Source organism: Homo sapiens, chromosome 5 (genome assembly GCF_000001405.40).
Source record: "Homo sapiens chromosome 5, GRCh38.p14 Primary Assembly".
Classification (NCBI taxonomy): Eukaryota; Metazoa; Chordata; class Mammalia; order Primates; family Hominidae; genus Homo; species Homo sapiens.
The window spans coordinates 76,678,187-76,702,132 of NC_000005.10; the positions used below are offsets into that span (position 1 = coordinate 76,678,187).

The 23,946-nt window shown below is 38.4% G+C and overlaps 1 protein-coding gene across 12 annotated transcripts in view; it reads left to right on the forward strand.

Annotated features, from left to right (window-relative positions):
* IQGAP2 (IQ motif containing GTPase activating protein 2) overlaps window positions 1–23,946 on the forward strand; it is a 304,848-nt gene that overhangs the window by 274,902 nt on the left and 6,000 nt on the right. For all 12 annotated transcript variants that reach the window (NM_006633.5, XM_017008960.2, XM_047416641.1 and 9 more), the window contains 6 exons: window positions 4,929–5,031; window positions 5,590–5,731; window positions 15,169–15,256; window positions 17,268–17,480; window positions 19,801–19,961; window positions 22,890–23,027. In NM_006633.5, coding sequence (NP_006624.3) covers window positions 4,929–5,031; window positions 5,590–5,731; window positions 15,169–15,256; window positions 17,268–17,480; window positions 19,801–19,961; window positions 22,890–23,027 — 845 coding nt within the window. The remainder of the gene's footprint in view (window positions 1–4,928; window positions 5,032–5,589; window positions 5,732–15,168; window positions 15,257–17,267; window positions 17,481–19,800; window positions 19,962–22,889; window positions 23,028–23,946) is intronic.

The window sequence follows — 23,946 nt, forward strand, 5'->3', positions numbered from 1 at the left end:
ACCCAATAGTAGCCTTCTGCAAAGAATCACTTCCATTGTTCTGGAAACCCCCATTTCTCGGAAGCAGGCAGTTTTTCACATCATGTGCTGTGTTATGACATCTACATCTGGTTTGCATGCAGACATCACTGCCGTCAGCCATTAGCATGTATTAAGTATCTGTTGGGTGCAGGGCACTGTGCTCAGTGGCATGGGGAAGGAATTGGGAGGCTTTAGATGACTTTTCAAACATTAAAATTAAAAAAAAAAAAGCTAAGCATTGAGGGGTTTGCATTGTTTTCTTTTTAAGATCAATTGGAACTTATTTCATGAAAAAATCTTGGTTTTTAAAAGGTAACCATTTCAAGAATAGTTTCAGACCTTGTGAGTTGAAGCAAGGTCCTGGGGATATGTTAGCAATGCACCCTGGACCTCCCAAATTAGAACCTGCATTGTAACAAGATCCCAGAGGATTCAGATGCACATTCAAGTTCTAGATGCTTCAGTTAAGGATGCACCCAACTTTGGATTATACAGAGAACCAAAGGGAAAGCATAACAAATACACATTCTCAAAGGTTGTGCTCTAGCCCCCATCAAACCAGACATACTGACAAGTGGCAGGTTAGCTGCTTAAAATTTCAGTCTATTATTAAGCTCTTCTAAGAAACTAAAGCTTGAATGTAGGTTTGAAGGAAAGATTGAATCTAGTATTGATTTTCTTCTTTCAGGGTTGAAACAGGGAACTTCCCTGACATTTACATCAAGCTCTCAATACATACTGATTAAATGAATAGGCTATCCTTCTTTTCTCTATATATGAACACCCTAGATTACAAGGAAAACTGTCCAGCAATCTAGCAATGCATTACTTACAGAAATAATTATCTACTGGACAGACTCATTTATATTTGAGCAATGACCCATTTGTCTGTTTTTGTGGTACATTATCTGTCTTCAAAGAATATGTACATCTTGGGTGCACATTTGCTGAATGCAATATCCACATGCGAAAAAAATGGTGGGGAGTACTTGTTTAGAGTGAGAGATTCTTTCCCAAGGGTAGCAGAGAGAAAATGTTACTGTATTAATTTAGAAGTCTTAGAAGTCTTTAAGGAGAAATAGTCTGTTCTTTTGTTAACAAAAATTGAAAACAGAATTCAATCCTGGGAAAGAGAGCTTGTGACTGATTTGGAATTCCTTCCTGTGTTAGGTTAGAAGCAGATGTAATGTGGGGAAATTGTGTAATTTCATAGGAAGACTGTCCTGTTTACTGTCTGCCTTCTGTGTGGAGGCGTCCGTGTGCAGACACAAGCACAGCAGTAGCAGGATTTGCCAAGCCTGTGGCCATGTGCTTACCCCTTTCTCTAAGGAAGATGCAAGAACTTCCAAATAAGCTCTTTAAGAAGACATTATCAGGAAATTTTTCCGAATAAAGGGTAGAAGGTGGCCACCTAAATAATCATTTCCAAAGAAAACAGCCAAATCAGTTGCCCTGGCTCATCAGAGAAGAAGAACATAAATTTATCCATCTTGCATATTTTGTTCTTGTCTCTTAATTTTCCCTCCAAAACATCATATGTACCGCCTTTCCAGATTTTGCCCGGTCTTTGTATCACCTCTATTATTTATTTAATGCCTTTCTTTGAATCAACTCACCTTTTTAAAAACAACACGTAATTTCTTTGCTTTAAAACAAAGTACCTCTACTATAGTGAAAAACTAGCCTGCTTTGCCATACACAGAAACTTTAGAAGAAAATAAGTGTAATGAAAACAAAATAGTTGGATACAGTCACTTCCTTACCTTGAAGTTATGTATCTGAGGTGTGTTCTCTCTTTGTTAACAACTCTCCATGTGTCAGGGAAATGTTAAGAAAAATTTAGCATCAAACAGATACTCTCTCCTTCACTGATCTTAAAGATTAGAAGAGAACGGAAAAGGCAGTAATCAAGACAGTGCTATGCTGGCATAAGGTTAGACATAAAGACTAATGGGATAGAATCGAGAGTCTAGAAATAAGCCATCACATTTATGGTTAATTCATTCTGACAGGGGACTAAGTTCAATGGGAAAATAGTGTCTCCAAATGGTACTGGGACAACTGGAAATTCCCATGCCAAAGAATGTAGTTGTGCCCCTTCCTTCCACTCTATACAAAAAGTGAACTCAAAATGGGTGGTAGACATAGATGTAAGAGCTAAAACTATAGATCTCTTCAAAATAAGATATAGGAGTAAATCTTTGTGACCTTGGATTAGGCAGTAGTTTCTTAGATATGACACCAAACACATAAGCAGCAAAGGAAGGAAATAAACTAGACTTCATCAAAATTGAAAACTTTTGAGCTATAAAGAGTAATATCAAGAAATTGAGGCTAGACGTGGTGGCTGACGCTTGTAATCCTAGTACTTTGGGAGGCCAAAGTGGGAGGATGCTTGAGGCCAGGAGTTCGTCGACAAAATAGGAAAAAAAAATTAGCTGGGTGTAGTGGTGCATGCCTGTAGTCCTAGCTACTCGAGAGAATGAGACAGGAGGATCCCTTAAAGCCAGGAGTTCGAGGCTGCAGTGAGCCATGATCATGCCATTGTACCCTAACCTGGGTGACAGAGTCAGACCTTGTCTCATTTAAAAAAAAAAAAAAAAAAAAAAAATTTCATCCAGGTGCAGTGGCTCACACCTGTAATCCCAGCATGTTGGGAGGCTGAAGCAGGTGGATCACTTGAGGCCAGGAGTTCAAGACCAGCCTGGCCAACATGGAGAAACCCTATCTTTATTTAAAAATACAAAAATTAACCAGGTGCGGTGACACATGCCTGTAATCCCAGCTACTCGGAAGGCTGAGGCACGAGAGTCACTTGAGCCTGGGAGGTGGAGCTTGCAGTGAACCACTCCAGCCTGGGCAGCAGAGCGAGACTTTGTCTCAAAAAAAAAAAAAAAAAAAAAAAAAAACTTGAGAAAACCAACAGAATGAAAGAAAATAATTGTAAATAATATGTTTGATTGGGGACTTGTATCCAGAATATATAAAGAAATCCTACAACTCAATGATAGAAACATAATCCAATTTAAATATTGGACAATTACACATCAAAGGACATAATCAACTGAGTGAAAAGATAATGTATGGAATGGGAGAAAATATTTGCAAATCACATGTCTGGTAAAGGGTTAATATCTAGAATATATAAAGAATTCCTACGAATCGACAACAAAACAACCCAATTATAATATAAACAAAGGACTTTAACAGATGTTTTTCCAGAGAAGTATACAGATGGTCAGCATCACTAATAATTAGAGAAATCAAAACTGAAACTGCAAGGAGATACCACTCACACCCAGTAGGATGATTAATATCAAAATTTAAAAAAAAAAAAACAGAAAATAAGTGTTGAGAAGGATGTGAAGAAAATGCAACCCTTGCACCCCGTTGGTGGGAATGTAAAATGGTGCAGCTGCTATGGAAACAGGATGGTCTTTCCTCAAAAATTTAAACAGAGAGGCTGGAGTATGGCGGCACGATCAATTAAAAAAAATTAAACATAGAATTACCTCATAATCTAACAGTTCCACTTCTGGAAGTATACCCATAAAAAATTGAAAGCAGAGTCAAAGAGTTATTTGTTCACTCATGTTCATAGCAGCATTGTTCACAACAGCCAAGCGTCTATCACTAGATGAATGGATAAAATGTGTTATATTCATACAATACAATATTATTCAGCTCTAAAAAGAAGGAAATTCTGATACATGCTACAACATGGAGGAACCTTGAAGACATTATGCTAATTGAAATGAGCCAGTCACAAAAAGACAAATACCACTTATCTAAGGTACCTAGAGTAGTCAAATACATACAGGTATATTTGTGGTTTCTAGGGGATAGAAAGAAGAGATAATGGAGAGTGACTGCCAATGGGTACCCGGTATCTTTTAGGGCAGTGAAACTGTTCTACAGTCAGAGAGTGGTAATGGCTGCACAGCTCTGTGAATACACTAGAAGCCATTGCATCGTACATTTTAAGTGAGTGGATTTGATGTATCTGAATTCTATTTTGGTAAAGCTGTTGGAAAAAAGATTGAAAATGGAAAAGGAACTAGCTTTATCATTATGATGCAGAGTTTTATAAAATAGTTGCTGAGAACAACAAATTTTATCTCCTGTCTCCAAGATTACTAGTTCCGTACTTTGGAAATGTTGTTTCAATCTAATTAGAAATGCAAGCAAAAACAGATGTGTCGCTGTTCATGTGTAAGGTTGTAACAATTAAACCAACTCCATTAAAATTTGTTTAAATTAAAAAAAAAAAAAAAGTGTTGTCTTTCATGGTTTCCCCCGAGTGCTGCTACCCCTCAGGAGTTAATACTGTTTCCTGTAAGACCTGGCAAGACACCCCAGCAGATGTTACTCATCTTTGGGCCTTCTTAGGATAAGGAAAGGGGAAACCACTCAGGACATCTAGGTCTCTTACATCCTTACCCATGAGAGATCTTCAATGCAAGACAGATTGAAACAGCTCATAGTAGTGATTAAGAAGAAGATAACTGTAGTATTTGATTACTGCATAGAGATGTAAATGCCCTTCCAGTTTGCTACCAATGTTAACTGAAAGATCTGCCTCATTCTGGACTCTTTCCCCCAACTTTGACTTTTTCTATGGAGGAAGAGTGAAGCACAGAGATCAGGTGGTAGAAGGCTTCCCTTTGGCAGACCTTGCTGAAAAAGGGTTTATGAACACGTTTCTTGCAACAATTTCTTGATGTAGAGTAGGTGCTTCCCTCTGAGATACAATAAAAACTGTATCTATGTCTCTAATTTTTATAAATGTCATACTCATATTTAAGATTTAAATGGTATGAGGAGGAAATTATGAAAAATTTCATATAAATATGGTACAGTTGAGAATTTACTTTTTTCTTTGTGTGTGTGTTGCTTTCTACATAAAGCTCCTGTTGGAACACCAGGATGCAATTGCCCCTGAGAAAAATGACTTACTGAGTGAATTGCTGGGGTCGCTGGGAGAGGTGCCAACCGTGGAATCTTTTCTTGGTAAGAGCTTGTTCCTTCTACTTATCCCTTGGTTTTTGTTTAATTGGGTGGGTTGGTTGGTTGGTTCGTTGGTTTTCCTATCCTAGATAAAACAATTATTTTGGAATTTAATGCTTAAGCATATTTAAAGAATAACAACTACACTTGCCCCTTCCTACAGTAAGAGTTCTGTAATTAATGGAGTCCGGGATTATAAAATAATTCAGTATTCTTGAAGGTAAGCTCCAGATATGTCAAAAAGGAATTGTCAACCTGTATTATACAGAAAGAAGCCATCAATAAAGAACCAAATTTATTACAAAATGAAAAATACTTTTATTAACAGTTATCCTTTTTAGTAATTTGTATTTGAAATACCTATGTCCCATGTCATTTTCATTTTTCAATCAGATATTTTAAAAGCCACTTTAGCTATAGTAGAATGTGGGTTTTGTAAAGACCATGATCTCCCATTTAATTACCAAGCCTATCTTTCCCACAGAACCTTTATCTTACATTGTTGGTGCCATCATCACAAAGAGTGAATTGGAAAAATAACACTAGGTTTTTTCCCTACAGGGGAAGGAGCAGTTGACCCCAATGACCCTAACAAGGCAAATACACTAAGTCAGCTTTCAAAGACCGAGATTTCTCTTGTCTTGACAAGCAAATATGACATAGAGGACGGTGAAGCTATAGATAGCCGAAGCCTCATGATAAAGTAAGTTTGGGGGTTAAAGGGCACATGTCTCCAAATACACATCTTAAATGATGCAAATTCAAATGAGGCTAAATCCCAACTAATTTATTTAAAAGTATGTGAACATTGAAATCTATTATGTATATCCATCAAACATCTAACCAAAGGATAATAGACTCTTTAGAATTTAGGAAGGCATTAAATATTATAATAGTTTACAACACCTTCCTTGGTTTTTAGTTTTCCATGTAGTAATTTGATTTTTTTCCTTTGAGAAATGATTAACTCAGCTTATGCAAGTCCTTAGGTAACTGAAGAGAAATATCTATTACAGAGTGGCCAGAAGATTAGTGAGGAAATTCAGTTAACCAACGTTTATTTCCGGTATAAAATCATAATATAAAAACACGTACCTACAATAAGACATTATGATAGCATCTGATTTATTGGCCTTCCTTCCTGTTAAACTGATCCTGGATATATTTACCAGCTTTGACTTTTATTTGTACCCTGCTTCCTGCCGCTAAAGATTTCAAGTGAAGCATTCACACTTTAAATAATACTATCTTTTCTCCATCAAAGAATCAAGGATATTCCACATCCATCCTTTACACACAGAGTAAGAAAGAGAATGAGATTCATGATACAACACCATAAATCAAAAGCACCCGCTGACCAAGCAGTGCAGTTTTCAAGAACTTATACAAACCCAAGAATGCATATCAGTACATTAGAACAGTTATGTATTGGGGTGAGATGGAGACTGGAAGTGGAAAAATGAGGACAAAGGGAACAAGTATGTGTTGAAACAATACGAAACATATTACTTCCAAGCTACCTGTCCTGAGTTCTGAGGTTTTAATTTGTGGCAAGAGCTTTCTCTCCTGCCACTGATGTGCTGAAGTGTGCTTGAAGTGTGAATGAAGACAGCATTCATCTCCACTTGATTTTTTTTTTTAAACATTCAATCATCTGTGAAAACAACAGGAAGAGCTTCTTCACTGTGCTGTGTTGATATGTTCCTCTCTTAGGCTTGTTGATTTTGTCCTCAGATCATCTGAGGCTCCATTCGGTCATGCAGCAAATGCTTGACTACCTACTCTGTGTTCATGCGCTGGGCTTGAGGCTGGGATACAACAGTGGGTAAGCTGGAAACAGCCCCTGTCTTACAGGGGTGGAGAGCACAGTTCGACAGTAGGACCGCAACCAAGTTGCAGGACTAGGACTCACCCTTGGCCTCACAAGAGTTGAGGGCGGTTCTTTTTGACTACAGATTACCAAGGCAGATGAAAATTTCAGGGAGACAATTCAGGGCAGGGCAGGAGAGAAAGGGGGAGAAAGTCTACACCCTGGGTTCCTCTGAACAAGTGCCAATTATAAAGATAACTGGAAATACAGATTGTGTGGTTTTGCCATGTAAATGAAATTAGGCCAAGTATCCCATGATCTCATAAGCTTTGTCCTTTAGAAGTAATGGGAAGAAATTTTTTCTTAATTAGTTTTGTCTGCTATTTGAACATCATTTTCTAAATCCAGTCAACTCCAATGTCTGCATGATATCTGAGAATCACCATTTGAGTAGTTCAAAGTATCAGATAATCTGAATATCATATATATTTATACTTATTCCTGAACATGAGTCTGCATGATTCTGCAAATTCTAGGAAATCACATTTAAAGATAAAACCATAAAAGTCAGGCCTGTCTGGAAGCAATGTGTCTTAGCCTGGGAAACCTGGGACATTGTCCTGTTTGCCTTACCCATTACCCAGCCTCTGCCCTTGTGTGGCTCTCCCCCGTCCCCCCCAGTGTGTTGGAAACAAACACTATCCACTTCTTTAATCACCACACTATGTAGAGCCAGCAGTGGGTTTATTTTTTATTGTGGTAAAATACACATAAAACTTACCATTTCAGCCATTTTAAAGTGTACATGCATTTAGTACATTCGCAGTGTGCAACCATCACTGTTGTCTAGTTCCAGAACATTTTTATCAGATGTGAACCCTGTACCCATTAAGTAGTCATTCCCCATTCCCCGCTGCTGCCCAGCCCCTAGCAACTACTAGTCTGCACTCTATGTCTTTGAACTTTTGCCTGAAGATATGAAGTCGTATCTCACTGTGGTTTTGGTTTGTACTTTTCCAATGACCAGTAATGTTGAGGATCCTTCCATATGTTTGTCATCCACTTGTGTATTTATGTATTCTTTTTGGAGAAATGTCTATTTAACTCCTTTGTCCATTTTAAAATTAGGTTGTTTGTGGTTTTGTTCCTCAGTTGTAAGAGTTGTTTATATATTCTGGACACTGGACCATTATCAGATATATGATTTGCAAATATTTTTGCCCCTTGTGTGGGCTTTTTACTCTCTTGATAATGTCCTTTTCCGCACAAATGTTTTTTTTTTTTTATTTTGATGAAGTCCAGTTTATCTGTTTTTTTTGTTGTTGTTGTTGTTGTTGTTGTTGTTACTTGTGAGATTTACCCCAATGTTTTGTTCTAAAGGTTCTATAGTTTTAGCTTTTACAGTTAGGTCTATTAACCCTTTTTGAGTTCATTTTTGTGTGTGGTGTGAGACAGGTGTCCACCTTCATTCTTTCTTGTTGTTATTGTTGTTGTTTTTTGTTTGAGACAGCGTCTCGCTCTGTCGCCCAGGCTGGAGTGCAGTGGCATGATCTCGGGTCACTGCAAGCTCTGCCTCCTGGGTTCATGCCATTCTCCTGCCTCAGCCTCCCAAGTAGCTGGGACTACAGGTGTCTGCCACCATGCCCAGCTAATTTTTTGTGTTTTTAGTAGAGACGGAGTTTCATCATGTCAGCCAGGATGGTCTCCATCTCCTGACCTCATGATCCGCCCACCTCAGCCTCCCAAAGTGCTGGGATTACAGGCGTGAGCCACCACTCCTGGCCCCACCTTCATTCTTTTGCATGTGGATGTCCAGTTGTTCTAGCACTATTAGTTAAACAGACTATTCTTTCTTCATAGAATGGTCTAGGCACCCTTGTCAAAAACTAATTGACAATACATGTATGGCTTTATTTCTGGATTTTCAATTCTACTCCATTCACTTATATGTCTATCCTTGTACTAGTGCCACACCATATTGATCACTGTAGCTTTGTAATGAGTTTTGAAATACGGAAGTCCTCCAACTTCTTTCTTCTTTTTCAAGATTGTTTTAGTCTTGCAGTTGAATAGGTCTCTTGCAGTTATATGTGAATTTTAGGATCAACTTTTCCATTTATGTAAAAAAGGCTTGAGGCCAGTGTTTTAATAGAGGCCCTAAGTCTTTTATGCTCAAAGGCCTTCCTCTTGGCATACTGTGAGATCTTACTGTTGGCCGACCACTTTACTAAGCAGCCCAGTGATCAATGTAGGTAACAATTTGAAATCAACACTGACTGGTTAGCCATCCCTGAAAGTGAAATTTGGATATTGCCCAAAAGGTTCAATAGAATTAGTTCTATGATTTTAGCCAAGCCCTGCTTCTAAATATACTTCCTTTAAAGTACATATTTGAAAAAATCTTGATACTAACAGATAATTACAAAGTGCAGCATTGACAGGGAACCTGAAAACTGAGTCTTTTTCTTGCAGGCAAGGAAACTAAAGTCTAAAAGTACCAGTATCAGTCCATGGCCTGTTAGGAACCAGGCGACACAGCAGGAGGGGAGCAAGTGAAGCTTCATCCTGTATTTACAGCTGCTCCCCATTGCTGGCATTAACACCTGAGCTCCACCTCCTGTCAGATCAGTGGCAGCAGTAGATTCTCATAGGAGTATGAACCCTATTGTGAGCTCCACATGCAAGGGATCTAGGTTGCACACTCCTTATGAGAATCTAATGCCTGATGATCACTGTCTCCCATCACCCACAGATGGGACTGTCTAGTTGTAGGAAAACAAGCTCAGGGCATCCACTCATTCTGTATTATGGTGAGTTGTATAATTATTTCATTATATATTACAATGCAATAATAATAGAAACAAAGTGCACAATAAATGTAACGCACTTGAATCATCTTCCCGAAACCATCCCCCACCCTGTCCATGGAAAAATTGTCTTCCACAAAACCTGTCCCTGGTGCCAAAAGGGTTGGGGACCACTCCTTTAAAATATTGATTTGAACTCTCATGAGGATGACTTTTTTGATTTGAACACTCTCATCAGGATGACTTTTTTCCAAGCTAATAAACCGAATTTGTAACTCAAGCATAAGATATAGTTCTTGAGATTCATTAGAGAACCAAATTTAACTAAAATCGGACAATGACTTTTATAAGTTATGAAGTGGACAGACATGAAATGCAGAGCAATTGGGATGTGAAAATACCTAGCTTTTCTCTATCAAAAAACTATTCTGCTTTTTTGTGAAACAGATTGTGTTCTTAACTTTCAGAAATGCCCTTATGTTTAATTACAATGTCACTAGTTTTCCAGTCATGAGTAACTCATCTTCATGGAGGCCCCCACAGTAGCAGAATTTGAGGCATTGTTAATCATTATGTTTGTAAATTTAATTCCATGCTAGTCTCATAATTCTTACTCATCAGATGAAGATGAAGATGATGATAATAGCAAACACCTATGTAGTGCTTACCATGGCCAGGGACAGTTTTTATATACTGTGCAAATGCAAAGTGTTCCAGAATTCCAAACCTTTTGAGAGCTGACAGTGGTCAAAGGAAATGCTCTTTGGAGCGTTTTGAATTTTCGGATTTAGGATGCTGAAGCAGTAAGTATATAATGCAAATGTTCCAAAATCTGAAAAGATAAAAAATCTGAAACACTTTTGGGCCCAAGCATTTTGAAAAAGGGACCCACAATCTGTAAAGAGAGAAAGAGAATAACATGTGCATATATATATATTAAAATAAACATGTATAAAATATGTATGTAATATTCTCAGCAACCCCAAGAGAGTGGAGGTTATTATCAGTATTTTACAGATGAGGAAACTAGGCACAGAACAGGTATAAACCTTTTCCTGGGTAACACAGTTACTAAGTGGAGCAGAGATTCAAACCCACATGATTTGAAATCCTCCAGGGCCCACACTCTTGATCATAAAGTTTTACAACTTGTCGAGGGCAAGGTCATTGTTCTTTGCATTCTTAGGAATCTTAGAATAAATAATGAGAATTATTAGCTGAGCAGTTACTGAGTAACGGAGGCTGGAGCATCTTTCCAGGCCAAAGAGGAGGGACAAAGGGCACATATCGGAGTAGGAAGAAACATTTATTTCTTTTTCCCTTGTGTATGTTTATAGAATAGAGAACCTCAGTTTGGGCTATTGCTATTTTTCTAATACTACCAAGCACAGGGATATTTAAAAAAAAAAAAAAAAAAAAAAAAAACCTGGTCGAGGAATCCTAAAAACCTAGTCGAGGGGTCTTAGGGATGACATAGGGTTATAGCCTCAATCTATCACTTATTAACCATGGAACTCAGCAAGTTGCCTCGCCATCAGTTTTCTCCTCCATAATATAGAGGAGAGGGGAAAGGAAGGGCTATGATGATCACATGAAATTATAATTAATACCACATAAATTATATAAAACTATGCAGTTGTCAACCTTTCATTATAACTTATGATTCAACTTAAAATATGTGATCCTTATGGCCTTAATTAAGCTTAGTTTCCCACAAAAGTATGTGTGTTTAAGTAGAAGGCAATATTTGTGGTTTTTAATCATACTTAGCTGCTTGAGTGCTTAAATTGTCATCTCTTAAGAATTTCCTGTCACATGATTAAGTTTAGGTTCCATGATCCCAGCTGAAAGATTTCCTTGTTTTTTGGTCCAAACTAGCAGGAGCACTAAATGGCTAAGGTGATATTTGAGGTCTGGAGCTAATAATGTAAATTATCTTGTTAGGATGTTAAATACTGAAAATATTCCTTAGTTTCCACAAACACTGATTGCTTTTCAACCTTGGGCACAGTATAAGCAGATGACAGAGGGGGAGCTTCAGGAATGCTACTGGTAATAATAGATACCATATGAATGGAGTGGCCAAACCCAAGGGGCCACACCAGCTTACAAGCGCCGTATGGGCTCATTTATCTACAGTGGGGTTTGAGCACAGCTATGATGAATAAACTCCCTGGTGTATTTCTTTCTCTTTTTTTCTTAATTCTTTTTCAAAATTAGATACCTCCTCATTCAGGGAGAGCAAGACCCGTGGTTTGGATCAACCTATCTTACATATTTGAAGAGCCCTGGCGCCAGTACTCTAAGCAGTTGATTTATGCTGGTCAGACCATATCCAGAATGTTATATTTGGACTGGGGTGGGAAGGGGGATGCATATTAAGGTCATTGGTAACTGGAATGTGAGCAGGACTGTGAGCTCTCTGCAGATGCCATTGTGAGGAGCTTTAAGGGACTGAGTGGTTTCACTTGGAAAAAGGAAAGATGGTGGAAGAGGGGATAGAGGAACACAGTCTTGGCATTTCTCTATAGGTTTTTCAGGAGCTGCTGATTTGGAAAGGGAATTGGACTTGTTTCCTGCAGCTCTAGTCTCTTAGGTCTTAGTTGCCACATTTGTACAATCAGGGATTGGATTGTTTTTCAAAGGTCTCTCTCCGGGCCACAGTCCTAAGACTAACCAGGTTTCATGACTGGGTGGCCCTGGAAGGCAGGCCTCTCAGAGTGAGCTCCTGTTTGAGAATGGAATGTGCCAATATTGTACTCTCCAAAAGAAATTTAATATGAGCCACATGTAATTTTAACTTTTCTAGAAGCCTTATTTTAAAAAGAAATAGATGAAATTAATTCTAATAATATATTTTATTTAACCCAATATATCCAAAAATATTTAAATATGTAATAAATGTAAAAAATTGATGAAATATTTTACATTCTTTGTTTCATACAACATCTTCAAAATCCAGTGTGTGTTTCACACAGCACATCTCAGTTTGTACTAGCCATGTCTCAAGTGCTCAAGTGCCACCTGTGGCCAGTGGCGGCCATCATGGGCAGCACAGCTTTAACGACCATGTGAGTGCTTACCATGTGCCAGACCTCACAGAAGGCTTTAGATCTTTTCATCCAATCCTTGCATCAGTCCTGAGAGATTCCTGTTTTATAAACGAAAAAACAAAACCTACAAGGATTATATAACTTGCACAAATCCACATGGCTAATATGCAACAAGAGTCCAAGCCAAGACAGATTTGGCTTTAAATCTGTCCGTCCCCGTCGTCCTTAAGCACTAGACACACTGTAGTGGGAGGGAGGTGGGTTCCCTGTCATGGGACTGGATGGTTACTTATGTCTGAGGTAGAACTTTGGCAATGAATTCCACAGGCCTGGTGTACAGTAGAAGTCCAAGGGAAACAGGCTGTGTGAGCAGTTTGTCCTCCAGCAACTCTTGAGCAAATAAACATTCTTTGTCTTTGGTGGGGCACGTTTTATTGACTCCAGTCATTTGGTCATTGCACAGCTTCTCTAAAGAACTAGAAGTTCCCTAGAAACTGTATATCACAATTAGTTCTGAGAATACTATTTCAAACAAGAAAGTTACTATATTGACATTTTTTAAATCATCCAAAGCTTTTATTTTTAACTCAGTGTTCCTGTTTAATACATTGATGATGATGGCTGGAGGAAGGTGGTGTGTAGGAAGGAAAGGATACATTGCTTTCTCAGCCACAGCCGCTTTAGGAAACATGCCATCCCCCACGTGGCTGTAATTAGCTGTGGGCCCACCTTTGAGTCTCTGTGGAGTATTTAGCTGTGCATTCCCAGACAGCCTGTAAATCCCCAGCAGCAAAGGGTCATGGGGCCAGAGGAAATGGTTCTCCAAAGGCTAGGGGGAAGGGAGGCAAGGAAGACACATTGTGATTGTTCTTTTCACACAGACTTCTGATAAATAGGAAATGAGAAAAATGATGTTTACAGATGGCTTATTGGATTTTATCCTATTTTCAAAAGTAATATATTTGTAATTAACTTGAAGGGTTTTCTCTGTCATTTGGGAGTAGTTGCCCATATCCTTCAAAATGTGAAAATTTTGTTCTCATTTCTAAATTTCATGCTACATGAACATTTCCTGCTAGAGTTTAGGAAGAAAAATTAGTCATTCAGTGATATCATGTAATGACTCTGAAATAACTAAAGTTAAATGCAATAACGGGACTACAGTAAAAGTGAAACTTCAGATGTCAATTAGACCAGTGTATGTATAATTTAAACAAACTTTTGTCTGTGTTTCCTTTTCTTCTTTCTTTTCTTTCTTTCTATCTATCTATCTAGATATCTATCTGAGATGGTATCTCACTCTGTCACCCAGGCTGGAGTGCAGTGGCACGATTTCAGCTTACTGCAACCTCTGCCTCCCGGGTTTAAGCAATTCTCACACTTAGGCCTCCTGAGCAGCTGGAATTACAGGCACATGCCACCATGCCCAGCTAATTTTTGTATCCTTAGTAGGGATGGGGTTTCGCCATGTTGGCCAGGGTGGTCTGGAACTTCTGACCGCAGGTGATCCGCCCACCTCGGCCTCCCAACATGCTGGGATTACAGGAGTGAGCCACCGCGCCTGGCCCTTTTTTTTCTTTTTAGAAGGAAAGCCTTTTCCAATAATACTGTTTCCACCTTATGTAAAAGTGAGCAAATTTGACCCTTTAGCTTTTATGTTAAAACCTTTGTACGTAATTACATAACATGATGCCTCCCTAGGAAGTGGTGGCCAATTGCCATAAAGAACACCTATGAGAGAACTACGGTTTTCGTACTTCCAGAAGAATTTTCCAGCTCTTTACTGTTTACTGAGAAGCTCTTCTATTCTCTTCCACCTGAAGACTGGAAGAAGACCTAACAAATAGGTTTCTTTGTTAACCCTATTTGTTAGTTGCTCAGGCCCTTGAACACCATCCTCCTCGCTGCTGTGTCAGCTGACAGACCAAGCCTCCACAGCCCACACTGAACGTTCGCTCCCACTGGTCTTCAGACTCTTTAATAGCTTTCTGATAGTAGGAAAGGTAACAGTTGGTCTGGCTCCTAAAGGCTTATGAGGTATTAAGCCAGCTCAGAAGTCTAGGTGCTATTAAAGTCAGGAAAGGAGAATATTAGATATCATTCCTGCACTCTGCAGTAGCAGGCCATATCAGCAGCACTTGCTCCCCCTGCCCATCAAAAAGTAGTCTCCGTCTAAAAAAGAAGGAAAAGTATTTAGAGAGGAAATCTTGTGATACACTTGTGCCCATGTTACTGACAGTATAATGCTACAACATCAAGCACAGAAAGCCCAGACTTTGATTATCAAGCATTCATAAACTTTCAGGAGCCTTATAGCAGACCTGGTGAATATCCGCAAGAATGTTTTATTTTAAGGTATTATCTTTGAAGCTTCAGTATTGTATGTGTTTGTGCACTCTCTTAGGAGAAACAGATTTTTGTGCATAAGGACTACAGTCTGAAAGTCTGTCTCTTTCTCTGGTTTGTTAAGGACCAAGAAGCTGATAATTGATGTGATCCGGAACCAGCCAGGGAACACATTGACAGAAATCTTAGAGACACCAGCAACTGCGCAACAGGTAATTTGACTTTAAGTGTAAAATAATAATAGACAGGTGTTGATTTTCTTCATAAATCTTTATGCCATATGTTTATTATCTCAGAGAAACTGTATCTGACATGGTCCGGAAGTAAGGAATTTTATCTATTACTGCAGTGGACTTAGTTCAGCCATATATAAACCTGTATGAAGTATCAATGGGAATGAAATAGAAAATACAGCACCAAATTCATGCCGAATATACTTTTGTCTTAACCTAGGATGATAGTTCTGGGTTTTTCAAAGCCCGGAAATGTTCATCATAATGGGCAAATAAGTCAGTTGAGAGAGTTCTAGCTGACAGGATATTGAAAAATACCTTTCACATTTTATGTATTTACTAACTTGAAACAAATAAGCGACTCACATGTTAAAGATGTTTTCCAAATGCTTCAGAAGCAAATGTTGAGTCCACTGAGTCAAAGCATCATTATGTTAGCGTAAGTGAGGTTTCACAACAATCTTGCATTTAGCTTTTTATTAACATCTTTGAAAATACGTCATTGTTCGTTCTAAAATAAATTCAAGGTTGTTATTTTAGTACCAATAATTGCCGCTCCCTAAACAAAAGTTAATTATTTAATTAACTATTTCTTAGCACAGCTACACATAATTTTCCTGGATCATTCTTAATTTAATTGATTGCCAAGGAATCCTTGTAATAGTTTTTAATTTAAAAAATATAAAAGGCTGGGCATGGTGGCTCATGTCTGTAATCCCAATACTTTGGAAGGCTGAGGTGTGTAGATCACTTGAGCCCAGGAGTTCAACACCAGCCTGGACAACACAGTGAGACCCCCATCTCTAATTTTTAAAAATTTTTAATAAAAAATGTAAAGCAAAACTTCAAATCACACGTTTGTTAATATGTGGGTATGTTTTAAACAATGTGGGTAAAATATTATACTAGGTTAGTATAAAAGACTTTTACTCCTTACTATTTTTCATTTTCCCCTAAATGTATCATGAATAAGTGACTAAGAACACAGACTTCTGAGATCAACTATACCTCTGCACCTCCTAGGTGTGTAACTCTGTGCACTTAGAAGCATTGCTGTGCCGCAGTTTCCTCAACTGTAAAATGGGTATAATAATAGTACCCAGCTCACAGGCAGGATTAAGTCAATTAAACATGTTAAGTGGGTACATCTGTATCTGGTGCACATTAAGTGCTCAACAATGTTGGCTGCTGCTTTTGTTATTTACTGCTAACCTGGTAATAATGTTCCAATAATATTGACCTACCTGTCCTGTGTCTAAGATTACTGTCCCTAACTAATAGTCGTTTCCTTAGACTTCATCTATTGGGTCAGTCAATTGTCTAGTACAATGAAATGGGAAGACCAATAGTCTCTTTTTGTTACTGTTTCCTTGAACAGACTATCCAAAGAGTATTCATTCATTCATTCATTTACTCATCGTTTGGGAATTTATAATGTGCTAGAATATTCTTATTCCCTTTGGCTCAAAGAAACTTTGCAAGTTTTTCAGAGTTGCTGGTTTGTGATTCCCTTATAAGAATAAAGCTCTCTGACTGCCTTACTGTTGGTTTAGTTTAGGACTCTCCATAAACATGGCTGATGTGTGAGAGTTTAGCTGGGTTCTGAACATTCAGGGTTCTCATAGCCACATTTCAATAGGTAATCTAGTTTTAGTTTCCTCAGCTAGCCTATCCAGGAATTGAAATCCTTCCATGTGGGGAACAAAGTAGCAGTTATCCATTAAAATATGTCCATTACTATAGTGATTTGTCACCTTGGCAATAAAGTAGCTATTGAGAATTTTTCCCAAATAAGGCTTGCTATCGAAAAGATGAAGTAATTCCTTTCAAAGACCTACTTCAAAACTCAGGAAGAACATGTTCTGGTTCTAGTCTCTGAACTTTGGCTGGAGGACTACTTTCATTTTGACATTAACTTGCATTGTGTAGCTTATGAACTGTGAAATTAGGGGATCAGAGAAAACTCAGCATCTTGATATTCTCTTTTCAGGAGGTAGACCATGCCACGGACATGGTGAGCCGTGCAATGATAGATTCCAGGACTCCAGAAGAAATGAAGCATAGCCAATCTATGATTGAAGATGCACAGCTGCCTCTTGAGCAGAAGAAGAGGAAAATCCAGAGGAATCTTCGGACGTTGGAACAGACTGGACACGTGTCATCCGAAAATAAATACCAAGACATTCTCAATGAGATTGCCAAGGTTTTTGGAAACAGTATTCTTTCTTCCTTCACTTAGCAGACATTTGCTAATCACCAGTCAAGTGCTGGGCACTCTGTGAGGTGGCATTAGGGATTCATGGTTGCATATGCTGTGGTTACTGCCCTCTTCAATGCTACAGATTTTTCAAGGTTTCAAAGCAGTTGATGACTTTTTTTTTTTTTTTTTTTTTTTGAGTTGGAGCCTCGCTCTGTTGCCCAGGCTGGAGTGCAGTGGCACAATCTCGACTCTCTGCAACTTCCGCCTCCCAGGTTCAAGCGATTCTCCTGCCTCAGCCTCCTGAGTAGCTGGGACTACAGGCACGCACCACCACGCCCAGCTAATTTTTGTATTTTTAGTAGAGACGGGGTTTCACCATGCTGGCCAGGCTGGTCTCGAAATCCTGACCCGGTGATCCACCGGGGCCTCCCAAGCAGTTGATGACTTTTAAGAGAAAACAATCACAACACTTTCATGTCATTAGGAGAGTTGAAACAGACCAGAAATAAATACTAAAAAATGTACTTGACAAGTTTGGTCTATACCTTTAAAGTTTTAAAAATAACACTATTGGAAGAGTTTTCTCCTGAGATGTTAGTTGTCATATAGCTCAGTTGCTCTTAGAACCTGCCACTGAGATGGAACTCTGTGTCCCTGATCATTTGTTTTTAAGCAATTTAGCCTAAATGCAGTTCAGACTTGAAGATTAGTTTCTGTTTTCTTATCCAATATTTTTACACTTGAGAAACTTCCTGAGCAAAGGATCTCAACTTAGTGCAATGAAACATCACAGGAAGTGGCTGAGATCTGTTTGTCAAGGATAAGGAAGTATATATTTGGGTTAGAAGGATATTTCATTCTTTTTATTCAAACATGCAAATTAATATGGATCTAGAGGTTAAAGGCAGTTAAATGACCAGAAAAAAAAAAAATTTCTCACCTTCTGGAAGGGAAATGCGCTCAGCTTTGTTCTTTGATAGAAAATTATGTTCAATTCTGGCAGTAGGCTTATTCCTTCTAGCCCAAGTGACTCAAGGGAAATAACATTTCTTTCTTTAGTTTGGGGGTAGAAATATTTCTATTTGGGAATATGGGGTAGATAAATATATGCTTTTGCTTTAAAAAAGAAAAAGGCTATCATGAAGACATGATATTCTATTTAATGAATATTCTATTATATGAAGAATTTCTATTTAATGAAGAATTCTATTTAATGAAGAATATTCTATTTAATGAAGAAATTTTACCTAAGGGCATGGGGAAGTTGTGGGGGAGTGTATGTGTATGTAGGTATTTCTTTGAATTCCTAGGGGAATGGTTTTTAACTTGTTTACAAAAGAAAAATAATATTAAACAGGCACCGTTTTCTTAAGTCAAACATTTTCATAACTTACCAATTAGAATTATGAAAAAAACTTATATCTGCAAGTTTAAATTTAGCATAGCTCTTGTAAGCTATAAGCAGCTTATGCAACTTAATGTTCTAGGAATTCTATTTAAATCCAAGTAATAGTTATCAATGTTGAATCTTTTCACTCAGTCTTGACAGCCCAGTGTTGTTTTTTCAAACCTTGGGAAATATTTGTCAGATGAAAAAGTTTGTTCTTTTCTTATTTTAAAAATGAATTTAACAATTAAATGTAAACTTTTTTAGTTTAAAGTACTATTCAAAGAGGAATATTCAAAATAGTCTGAAGAGGCTGGGCACAATGTCTCATGCCTATAATCCCAGCACTTCGGGAGGCCGAGGCGGGCAGATCACTTGAGGTCAGGAGTTCAAGACCAGCCTGACCAACATGGTGAAACCCTGTAACTACTAAAAATACAAAAATTAGCCAGGCATATTGGCACGGGCCTGCAGCCCCAGCTACTCAGGAGGCTGAGGCAGGAGAATCGCTTGAACCTGGAGGTAAAGGTTGCAGAGATCAGGCCACTGCACTCCAGCCTGGGTGACAGAGCAAGACTATGTCTAAAAAAAAAAGTCTGAAGAAATTGCATTTCTGCTACTTTGTGCCCCTTTTAAAACGCAATTTTTCCTTAAACTAAATGTGTGGTTATTCTAAAATAACTTCTTTGCCTTTCCATCCAGAGCAAAATTAATGTTAACAAGTCTCTTAAAGTGAAATATGTACACTTTCCAGTTCTGAAGTAAAAAGGGATGGGAACCCTGTGGTGTTGAGAGTAAAATAAGGTGCCTGAGATAAGCTACAAGTCAAGTTACAAATAGCGACTTACTACTGCTTGATATTCTTCTTGTCCCAAACTGGCAATATCATAAAGCAAACTTCTGCTTAAATATGATACCCCTTACTTGTTGTTTTAGGATATTCGAAATCAAAGAATCTATCGTAAGCTTCGAAAAGCTGAATTGGCAAAACTTCAGCAGACCCTGAATGCACTTAACAAGAAGGCAGCATTTTATGAAGAGCAAATCAATTATTATGACACCTACATAAAGACTTGTTTAGACAACTTAAAAAGAAAGTAAGTTAAAATCATGTCATGTTCATTTGTAATGTCATGATTTCTATGAGATGTCAATTCTGTGTTTCTAGGCAGTTGGGTTGGGTATGGAAGAAAACTTTTTGCTCTGTCTTCTAACCGAAAACTAGAGTCTCAGTTTTATTATTTGCCACTGTGAACTAAGAAGTCAGGAGTAAGTGAAAGCTTTTCAATTCCCCACCAGCACTAGAATTAAAGTGGCTTACCTGTTGTATATTGAGCAAATAGCATTAGTAAGTTAGGGAAGCACTTTCATTATTCCTTTTGTCTTTTTTAGCCAAAGATTTTTTTAAATACTATTATTTTTAAAGTCTCTTGTTTTTGGAATGTATTTTATATAATTGATAATATTAGATAATGCCAGGTGTTTGCTAATTGCACAGAGCAGCTGAATGTTTTTAAATTGCTTCATGGTTTTAAAAAATTATTGACACAACTGGCAAAATTTGGCAGCTGTCTATTATCCATTAGCATAAGTATTATAGGTTTTTATATACAGTATAGCCATTTTTAATGAATATCCTTTGCTTAGTAATTATTCTTATCACTAGACTATGATCAATGCTAGTTAAATTTTAATTACCCATTTAAATATGTAGTACAATATTTTTATATAATCCTTGTCATCAAATTGGCAGGAGGAAATGGTGCTGTATGGAAAAATCTGTTGCATTAATCATAGATCTTTTAAATTTTATTGCAAATTGACTATAATTTTATGTATTCCTGGGGTACAAGGTGATGTTATCATTTATTATTACAATGTGAAATAATTAATTCATATATGCATCACCTCAAATACTTAGTTTTTGTGATAAGAACACTTGAAATTTACTCCTAGCAGTTTTTAAATGTGCAATACATTATTATTAGCTATATTCACCACACTGTGCAATAGATTTCAAAAAAAAACTGATTCCTCCTAAGATTTCATATCCTTTGACCATCATCTCCCCGTTTCCCCCACCCTCCAGCCTCTGAAACCACCATTCTATTCTGCTTCTATGAGTTCAACTTTTTTAGATTCCACATATAAGCGAGAACATGTGGTATTTGCCTTTCTGTGCCTGGCCTATTTCACTTAGCATAGTGTCCTCTAATTCTGTCCACATTGCCCCAAATGTCAGAATTTCTTTGTTTTAGGGCCGAATAGTATTCTTCTGTGTGTATATATACCACATTTTCTTTACCTGTTCATCTGTTAGTAGATTCTTAGGTTGATTTCATAACTTAGCTAACGTGTGAGTAGTGCTGCAATGAAGATGGGAGTGCAGACATCTCTTTGACAAACTGATTTCACATCTTGGAGTAAACACCCAGAAGTTGGATTGCTGAAATCACAGAAGATTTGATAAAGGGATGCAGCCACATTTAAACCTTATTGATTTGGCTCCCACTAGTCCTGAATTTTAGTTCATTTGCTTCAGGCTTCTCTCTGTTTCTCTCTCTCTCTCTCTCTCTCTCTCTCTCTCTCTCTCTCTCTCTCTCTCTCTCTCACTCTCGTGCTCTCTCTCTCTCCATATATAGTTCATTTGCTTCAGGCTTCTCTCTGTTTCTCTCTCTCTCTCTCTCACTCTCACTCTCGTGCTCTCTCTCTCTCCATATATAGTTCATTTGCTTCAGGCTTCTTTCTGTTTCTCTCTCTCTCTCTCTCTCTCTCTCTCTCTCTCTCTCTCTCTCACTCTCGTGCTCTCTCTCTCTCCATATATAGTTCATTTGCTTCAGGCTTCTTTCTGTTTCTCTCTCTCTCTCTCTCTCTCTCTCTCTCTCTCTCTCTCACTCTCGTGCTCTCTCTCTCTATATATATATATATACAAAAATACACTAAATATGTATATACACACACTACATATAGTGTGCATATGCACTTATAATTACATAAACATATACACTATACACTAAATATAGGAAGGAAGGAAGAATATATACATATACATGCAAGGAAGAAGTTGGTCAAGCTTACTTTCAGTAGAAATGAGATTGTTAGGGATTTACTTTAAGGCATTTCACACAAGATCCACAGTCGGGCGAATTGGATTTGGGTTCTGATTCTCTCTTATGTCGTGTGATCTTGAGCCCAGTTCAGTGAACTTTGAGCCTCAGTTTTCTCATCCTTAAGGTGGAATTAAGAGTACCAGCCTCACCAGCTTGGCTGACGTGGCGAAACTCCTTCTCCTCTAAAAATACAAAAATTCGCCGGATGTGGTGGCATGTGCCTGTAATCCCAGCTGGAGGTTGAGGCAGGAGAATCACTTGAACCCGGGAGGCAGAGGTTGCAGTGAGCCAAGATCACGCCACTGCACTCCAGCCTGGGCAATAGAGCAAGATTCCATCTCAAAACAAAACAAAAAACCTCCCCCCAAAAAAGCAAAGAGTACCAGACTCACAAGTATGGTTATGAGAGCTACATGATATAGTATATAGCAAAGGAATTTATTAGTTTAAAAGTACTATGGAAATGTTAATTTTGGAAATGTGAGGTAATATTTATAAGGCACTTAGAACAATGCTAGCCACATAGTGTTTGTTAAATAGATTAAAACAGTCCTAGTAATATCGTTATCTAGGAATACACAGTTCATGTTATTGCACCAAAGCTACTTCTGAAATGACTAAAGATAGCCACTTGGTTCAATATACCTGAGAAAATAGAGTGTAAGTTTTATTAAAAATGTTAGTCTGTAATGCAAACTTCAGTCACTTGGGAAATCCCTTTCCCCACAAACAGTTTAGTAGTGAAGTTGCACTCTATGGACAAAATTACCTACTATCACAAAATAAAAAAGTGTATATTCAGCGCTCTGAGGGCCAGGTATGAACAGCGATGTCACTCTGAGTATGGTAATCGCACTACCAGAAGCCTCTGCATTTGCCATCATAACAACAAATGTTCTGTTCTTATTTTGTCAGAAATACTCGGAGATCAATTAAACTAGATGGAAAAGGAGAACCCAAAGGGGCGAAGAGAGCGAAGCCAGTGAAGTACACTGCAGCAAAGCTGCATGAGAAAGGTGTCCTGCTAGATATAGATGATCTTCAAACAAACCAGTAAGTGTGACCTGGAATCTGCATAGAACACGCATGCCATTTGATTTCTTGTGGCCTTGGAGAGAGCTCCATTTGGTCTAGCAAGGCTTAACCTCAATTACTGATGGGTGACAAGGGAAGAATACACAAATTGTTATGGCTACTCTTCCCTTGGCCTCAGCATCTGGTGCTGTCAGTCATATGTAGTGTTGATCAGTGGTTGTCTTTCCCGTGGCTTGTGCAATATGTTTGGATTGGTGAACCTCCAGAACTGAGTCATAGCAATGAGAGTAAAAGGCTGTCTTTTGGTCTTGATGGATGAATTATCTACCATTGCAAAATAGCACCTTTCTCATTTAAAATAGGCTGTGCCAACCCCTGGATCAGAGCCATTTCCAAAGCATGCTGTGAGTGTGTGTATTCGGTGTAGTGGAAAAAACAAACCCTCCTTCACAGCCCCACATCAGGCACCATGTGCTGCCTCCTTTTAAAGGGGTCATGAGCCCAGTGTTCCATCACTTTCTTGTCCTAAAATCTCAAGGGAAGCCAGACTCACTGGCATTTGCCTTTTCTTTAACTCCTGCCTTCCTTCAAAGCCTGACTTCTGTTTATCCCATGAAACCTCCTGACAACACCAACTCAGAAGAAAATGCTTCTTCCAGAGATGGAGTCTCACTCTGCGGCCCAGGCTGGAGTGCAGTGGTGGGATCTTGGCTCACTGCAACCTCCACCTCCCAGGTTCAAGCGATTCTCCTGCCTCAGCCTCGCGAGTAGCTGGGATTACAGGCACATGCCACCGCCCAGCTAATTTTTGTATTTTTAGTAAAGATGGGGTTTCACCATGTTGGCCAGGTGATCCGCCCGCCTCGGCCTCTGAAAGTGCTGGGATTACAGGCGTGAGCGACTGCGCCTGGCCTGAAGTTTCTATAAAAGTTATCAT